This window comes from Homo sapiens, chromosome 3 (assembly GCF_000001405.40).
Source record: "Homo sapiens chromosome 3, GRCh38.p14 Primary Assembly".
In the NCBI taxonomy this organism is placed as follows: Eukaryota; Metazoa; Chordata; class Mammalia; order Primates; family Hominidae; genus Homo; species Homo sapiens.
Window position 1 is genome coordinate 46,813,092 of NC_000003.12, and position 8,432 is coordinate 46,821,523.

Below are 8,432 nucleotides of genomic sequence, written 5' to 3' on the forward strand. Positions count from 1 at the left end.
TTAAAGTTTTATATGCATATATTTTAGGGCTGTAGACTTACTTTCCTATTTTGTGTTCCAAGGCTTATTCTTGAGCACAAAATGATAATCATTACATTTATACATCACCTTTTTTACTTTTCCAAGCCCTTTTACAGCTCTTGGCATTTTCCTCACCCAGGCCTGTGAGGTAACTGGGATTGCACCTTTTATACCAGAAACCTGAGGCAGATGAAATTTATTTCCATCTAGGACTAGAAAAACTGGTACAGCAGCTGCAATTGGAGTCACCACTTGGTTAAACTTATGATAATCCACTGTCATTCTCCTAGATCCATCTGCCTTCTGCACAGGCCGAATGGGAGAGTTGAACAGGGATGTGGTGGGAATCACCACCCCTGCATCTTCAAGTCCTTGATGGTGGCACTGATCTCTGTAATCCCTCCCGGGATGCAATATTATTTTTGATTTACTATTTTTCTACATAGAGGCAGCTCTAAGGGCTTCTATTTGGCCTTTCCCACCATAATAGCCCTCACCCTACCAGTCAGGGAGCCAATGTGGGAGTTCTGCCAGCTGCTAAGTATGTATATGCCAATTATGCATTCTGGCACTGGGGAAATGACCACAGGACGAGTCCAGGGACCCACTGGACCGAGGTCAGACCTGAGCTAAAACTCTATTAATTACCTGACCTCCATAAGTCCCTACTTTAACTGGAAGACCACAGTGACATTTTGGGTACCCTGGAATCAATGTCAGCTCAGAACCAGTGTCCAGTAGTCCCCAAAATATCTGACCATTTCCCTTTCCCCAGTGCACAGTTACCCTGGTAAAAGGCCATAGGTCTCCTTGGGGAAGGATGGGAGAAATATTAACAGCATAAGTTGTCGGTAGTGTAATGGGGTCCTTCCTCAAGGGGACCCAGCCTCCCCTTCATTCAAGAGGTTCTAGGTCTGTAAACTGGCTCAAGTTTGGAAATTGACTGAGGAGCCGTGATTCTCTATGTTTATAATTCAAATTAGTCTGTTGTCCATCCGATCTAGAAGTTTTCTGCTTATATAAATTAAGTAGGAATGCAGTGGGCTTCCTATCAATTTCATTTCTAGAAACACCTTGATTAATTACCCAATGCCAGAGCTCTACACGAGTCAGACTATTCTGATTGCTGCTTTGCCTCTGCTGCCCATTACAGTAGCTATGCCCACCTTGCCTTTGATGGTTGAGTGCCACCACTTGGCCCCTGCCACCTTGGGATCCAATTATTCCCAATGTATTTAAATTTTGTAGTTTAGTGACTGCAGTTCCCACTGTTAGATCTGAAATACAGAGAAGAACAATTACAGGACCCTTCAAAGATGCAGGTACTGCCCTCACAAACCTATTTCACAAGGCAGTGATCAAGGGTATATCTTCTGGACCCTCTCAGCTGGGATGAGTAGATCTAAAGTGACTAATCCACTCCACCATCTCAATCTCCCTAAGCCTTTGGATGCCTTCTTCTATATTAAACCAAGGGAGATCAGGCATTTCCAGCTCCCTCACAGTGGGCCATCTTTTAATGCGTATTTCAGCTAACCAAGCAAATAAACTATTAGAACCTTATTTTAACTCACTGAGCTGCAACATTAAATGCAGAGTCCCTACTTAGTGGGCCTGAAGCAATAAATTCAGCCTGACCCAACTCTATGTTCCTTCCACCATTATCCCATACCCTTAATATCCATTCCCATGCCTATTCTCCAGATTTCTACTTATACAAATGAGAAAACTCAAGTAGTTATTTTCAAGTGTAGTGCACCTTCTCATGGGTCACACTCTCAACCTCACCTCTAAGGGCCCACCAGTACTTTAGTCTAGTTACAGGTCTAGAAGCAAATGGGGGTGTTGGGGGTGGCTCCAGAGGAGAATCAACATTACATTGTCTGGCAACTGCCTCAGAAGAGGCCATCACTTTTGCCTCAGGCAGCACAGGGTTTATCTCCTTAGACAAAGGTAGAAAGGCTGATGGCAGCATGGGTCAGGGAGGGGATGTTGTCACTACTGGGGATGGGAAAGCTTTTCTTCTAGCCAAAAAGGTTCAGCAGAGTTTACAAATTCAGTGTCCCCAGCTTCATCAGGGTCCTCTCACAAGTCCCCATTCCAAGTTGCAGGGTCCCATTCTTTTCCAATCAATGCCCTCACTTTAGCAGTACACACCTCAGGTGGCTGTGCGTGCATCTTTTGTTGCAGGTCAGCCACTCGCATGATAAGCGCTTATGTCTGTTTTTCCACAATTTCAGCTCTTTCTCTACAGGAGATAAGACTCTCACTCAGGGCAATCTTGGCAGATTTGAGGCTCAGTATCTGCTTCTGAAACTGGGTGTTAGAATCCCTGAGTTCATCATTTTCTTTCATCACTTTGTCCACTGAACTTAAGAGCAAACAACCAGCTTCATTACGTTCCTTGGCTCTCCACATATGGTCAAAGGTATTATGTATAGAGTCACTAAAGTCCTTGCCTTTCATGAGCGGTGAATCAGGAGTGTCAAATGCATTTATTTTGCATAACTCTCTAAACAGTTCATGCTGAGGACTATCATGTTCTCCATACTATTAGTAGAGTCCTGCTGGGCATGGTAGCTCACGCTTGTAATCCCAGCACTTTGGGAGGCCAAGGCGGGCGGATCACGAGGTCGGAGTTCAAAACCAGCCTGACCAAGATGGTGAAACCCCGTTTCTACTAAAAATATTTTAAAAATTAGCCGGGTGTGGTGGCCCGTGCCTGTAATCCCAGCTACTCCGGAGGCTGGGGCAGGAGAATCGCTTGAACTCGGGAGGCGGAGGTTGCAGTGAGCCGAGATCGCACCACTGCACTCCAGCCTGCGCAACAGGGTGAGACGCCATCTCAAAAAAAAAAAAAAAAAAAAATTTAGAAGTAGAGTCCGCATTTTTGGGACTAATCATATTAAGCAGCCAACTCCAGAAACCCCAAAACCAATGAAAGAACTCCATCCTTAATATTCTGTTCCTTTAGAACCACTCCTGGTATCAAAATCTGTATTAGTCAGGGTTCTATAGACAGGAGACATATATATACATACATACATATATATATGAGAGTTTGTTAAGTATTAACTCACACGATCACAAGGTCCCACAATAGGCCATCTGCAAGCTGAGGAGCAAGAAAAGCCAGTCCAAGTCCTAAAACTGAAGAACTTGGAGTCTGATGTTCGAGGGCAGGAAGCATCCAGCACAAGAGAAAGATGTGGGCTGGGAGGCTAGGCCAGACTAGTCTTTTCATGTTTTCTGCCTGCTTTATATTATAGCTGTCCTGGCAGCTGATTAAATGGTGCCCACCCAGATTAAGGGTGAGTCTGCCTTTCCCAGCCCACTGACTCAAATGTTAATCTCCTTTGGCAACACCCTCACAGACACACCCAGGATCAATACTTTACATCCTTCAGTCCAATGAAGTTGACACTCAGTATCAACCGTCACAATCCCCCATTCATGAGTGGCCCTAAAAGACAGTGGTGAGGGGAAATCCTGTATGTAGAGCTTCACACAGTACACCTGGTCATCAGCTTGTTGTAAAGGGAGAAGTGGCCTGAGTAAGAATACATATGGACCCTCAAGCAGTGATGAATGGCTTGTCTGGTTGGTTGGGCCTTAGAGCAAAATTCAAACATCTGGGGAAGAAGCACATGGCTAGACCTATAGGAGTGGATATAATATGTGTGGCTTTTTAAAATCTCATACCAATGCCCACCAATGGGTATCCGCTGAAGAGGAAGTACTCAACAACCAAGTGGATAGGATGACTCCTCCAGTAGAGGTCAGCTAGCTCCTGTCCTTGTCAACCTCTGCACTACACACTGTGCTCAGGAAAAGAGTATAATTGTGTTGGCAGGATTGGAGGCTATTCATTCACCCAATAAAACAGCACCAGTTTCCTCTGAACAAAGGTGATCTAGCTACTACTGCTCTGAATGTCTAATCTGTCAGCATCAGAAAGCAATGCCAAGCCTTTGATGTGCTACATTCCTGAAGGAAACCAACTAGATATTTGGTAGGAAGATGATTATATCAACCCCCTTCTACCCTGGAGGGCCAATATCTCATCCTTACTGGGGTTCATACATATTATAAAAAAATACATATATGTATATCTTATAAATAATCTTTGTAAAAATTACTAATTTATTAAGTATTGATCTTTTAATGCACATGCATTTAATTATTTTGTGTGATGAAATGGCAAGTATGCATAAAGCACTGCTGCTGTACACAGAAGTATGATGCTGACTCAAGAAAACACATGTGCAGTTGTTTGAGTTGTGAACTGAACTAGCTGGTTTTATCATGGGACATCATTTTTACTTTCAAAGAATGAATCGCAATAGAACTATTGTTATTTTGACCTAAGTATTTGGCAGGCTTTTTCTCAAAAATAAACTAAGTTAGAATCTGTGACTTTAAGAAAAATGACTGAAAGTATTTGTTGCCAATATTAAAATTTGAGCTTTCAAGTGAAAATTTGAATTTTGGAAAATGTGTATGTGCTACCATGAACACAACAGCTTTCCAATAATTAAAGACTTTTCTGATGACACTGGTGGTGATATGAGTGAAGGCAATTCTTTTTTGATATTGTACAGTACTGTATAATGAAATGTGTCAACTTTTGGAAAATCTGCATAACTAAGTAAACCAATATTTTCCAATGATTTTACAAAGTTATGCATGGGTGAAAGGCCCATTCACAGTGAAGGGCCAACTGATTTTAACGTAATGAGTACAAAAGTTCAGTTTTATATTCTACATTACAAAAATCTACCACTTGTCAAGTTCTGGCAGAGTGTAAACAGTAATTTGAAAAGGCACAATTACTTGAAAAGGCTATTAAACTAGCCCTTCACTTCCAACTGTGTATCTGTATGAGGCTAGGTTTTCTTCATAAACTTCAATCAAAACAATAAACAATGCAGAAGAGACATTAAGCCTGACATTAAGGAAATTTGAAAAACTAAAAAGTAATACCATTCTTTTCACTAATTTTTTTCTTCTGGGAAATATAGTTTTTTCATAAAAGTCCGTCATTCATGTTTACATGTATGAGTTTATTTTTATTCTTAAATAAATAATAAAATAATTTTTTAATTTCTGTTTTAATTTCTAAAGCAGTAAACATTGGTAGATATATAACACATCAACCAGATTCTAGGATTCTCAATAATTTTTGAGAGTGTAAGGTGATCATGAGACCAAAATGTTTGAGAGCTTCTCTATTTGTTATCCATTTACTGTTTCATTGATTTTCATTTCAGTCTTTATTTCCTTCCTCTTTTTCATTTGAGAATAATTTTCTTTTTCTAGCTTCCTAAAGTGGAAGTTTGGATAATGAACTTAAAATCTTTCTTCTTTTTTCATAGGCATTTGAAGTCATAAATTTATATCTTAAGCATTGCTTTAGCTACATCCCACAAAATTCGATATTTTATGTTTTCATTATAACTCAGTTCAAAATATTTTCTAATTTCCCTTGTGATTTATCTTTGATACATAGGTTATTTGGAAGAGTATTCTTTAATTTTCACATATTTGGGGATTTTTCAAGATATCTATTTGTTACTTTTTTATTCCATTCTCATCAGAAAACATACTATTAATGATTTCAGTCATTTCACATTTATTAAGACATGTTTTATGGCTCAGGACATGATCTTTCTTGAGAAATATTACGTGTGCACTTGAAAAGAATCTGTTCTGCAGTTGTTAGATGAAGTATTCTATACATGTCAACGAAGTCAAATTGTTTAATAGTGCTACTCAAGTCTTCAACATCCTTACTGATTTTTTGGTCTACTTGTTCTATCTATTATTAAGAGAGGAGTGTTGAAATCCCCTATTATAATTATAGATTTGTCTATTTTTCTTTGCAGTTCTGTCCATTTTTGCTTTATTGCTTTTGTTGAAACTCTGTAATTAGGATTATTAAGTGTTCTTGGTGAATTACACATTTTATCATTATGAAATGTCCCTCTTTGTGTATGGCTATCTTCCTTTCCCTGACGTCTACTTTTCTAATATTAATATAGCCTTACATCTTTCTCATTATTAGTATTTGCATAGTATATCATTTTTCTTCCTCTTACTTTTAATCTAATTATGCCTTATATTTAAAGCGCATTTCCTGCCAGGCACAGTGGCTAACACCTGTAAATCCAACTTGAGGAGGCCAAGGCAAGAGGAGCACTTGAGCCCAGGAGTTCAAGACCATCCTGGACCACATGGTACAATCTCATCACTACAAAAATTTAAAAATTAGCCAGGTGTGGTGGCACTTGCCCGTGGTCTCCGGTACTCAGGAGGCTGAGGTGAGAAGATCACTTGAGCCTAAGAGGTTGAGGCTGCAGTGAGCCATAATTGCACCACTGCACTCCAGCCTGGGCAACAGAAAGATTCTGTCTCAAAAAAAAATTAAAAAAAGGGCATTTCCTGTAGACAGCATATTGTTGGGTCTTTCTTTTTCCATCTAAAAATGTGTCTTTTAAATGGATTACTCAGCTTCTTTACACTTAATGTAATTATTTATGTGGTTGAGTTTAAGTTTACCATCTTGCTATTTCTTCTCTATTCCATTTGTTCTCTATCCCATCTTTTCTCTTTTCCTGCCAAATCTTGGATTAACTCTTTGTTTGTTTGTTTGTTTGTTTGTTTTAATTCATTTAGTATCCTAAACTGCCTTATTATATATATATATTTTTTTTTATTTTTTAGTGGTTGCTTGAGTGTTTTCAGTATGTCTTTAAATTATTACAGCTTACCTTCAAATATTGATATGACTTGGCTCTGTGTCCCCACCCAAATCTCATCTTGTAGCTCCCATAATTCCCACGTGTTGTGGGAGAGACCCGATGGGAGATGATTGAATCATATGGTGGGTCTTTCCTGTGCTGTTCTCGTGATAGTGAATGGGTCTCATGAGATCCGATGGTTTTTAAAAATTGGAGTTTCTCTGCACAAACTCTCTCTTTGCCTTCTGCCATCCATGTAAGATATGAATTGCTCCTCCTTGCCTTCTGCCATGATTGTGAGGCTTCCCCAGCCACATGGAACTGTAAGTCCAATTAAACCTCTTTCTTTTGTAAATTGCCCAATCTCAGGTAAGTCTTTATCAGCAGCATGAAAACGGGCTAAACAATATTATACCACTTCGCATTTGATGTAATTTTCTAAAGAATTTTTTTTTTTTTTTTGAGACGGAGTCTTGCTCTGTCGCCCAGGCTGGAGTGCAGTGGCACAATCTCGGCTCACTGCAAGCTCCGCCTCCCGGGTTCACGCCATTCTCCTGCCTCAGCCTACCGAGTAGCTGGGACTACAGGCGCCCGCCACTACGCCCAGCTAATTTTTTGTATTTTTAGTAGAGACAGGGTTTCACCGTGGTCTCGATCTCCTGACCTCGTGATCCACCCACTTTGGCCTCCCAAAGTGCTGGGATTACAGGTGTGAGCCACCACGCCCGGCCTAAAGAATTTTTTAAACAAATTAGATGGGCATGGTGGTGTGTGCCTGTAGTTCCAGCTATGTGGGAGGCTGAGGTGGGAGGATCACCTGAGCCTGGGGAGGTCGAGGTTGCAGTGAGCCATAATCATGCCACTGCACTCCAGCCTGAGCAACAGAGCAAGACAATCTCAAAAAATAATAAAAAAGAAATTTTAAAACAAAGGCTTTAATATTTACTAACAAAGCTATCATTTCTGGTCCACTTCATTTCTTTGTACAGATACAAATTTCCACCTGGTATCATTTCTGTTCACCCTGAAGAACTTCCTTAACATTGCATGAAGTCCAGGAAGGTATTCACTCAGCTTTTGTTTATAAAAGTTTTTATTTCACTTTCAATTTTGAAAGATACTTTTACTTAATAATGGAATTCTACATTCACTTTTTTTCCTTTCAGCATTTGCTGATACTCTACTGTCTTCTGACTTGCATTGTTTCTGGAGAGAAGTCTGTAATCATTCTTATTTTTGTTTCTCTGTCTATGTCCTTTTAAACTCTACTACTGAGTTTTAAATAGCAATTCAATTATTATGTTCTGTAGTGTGGCTTTGTGTTTACCTTGCTTGAGATTCACTGTGCTTCTAGAATCTGTGGCTTTTAGCTTTTATCAAATTTGAAAATTTTTAGCTATTATTTCTTCAAATATATATTTTTGGCTCCTACTATTTTCTTCTGTCATTCTGTACTCTAGTTTCTCACATGTCACATTACTTGCTATAGACCCCCAGGTGAAATTATCATACCTAATTTTTTTCAAATTTTTTGGTCTGTACTTCAGTTTGGATAGTTTCCATTGCTATGCCTCCAATTTCATTAATATTTTCTTCTGCAGTGTAATCTATGGCTAAAACCATCCAGTTAATTTTTCATTTCAGATGTTGTATTTTTCAGCTCAAATGGTC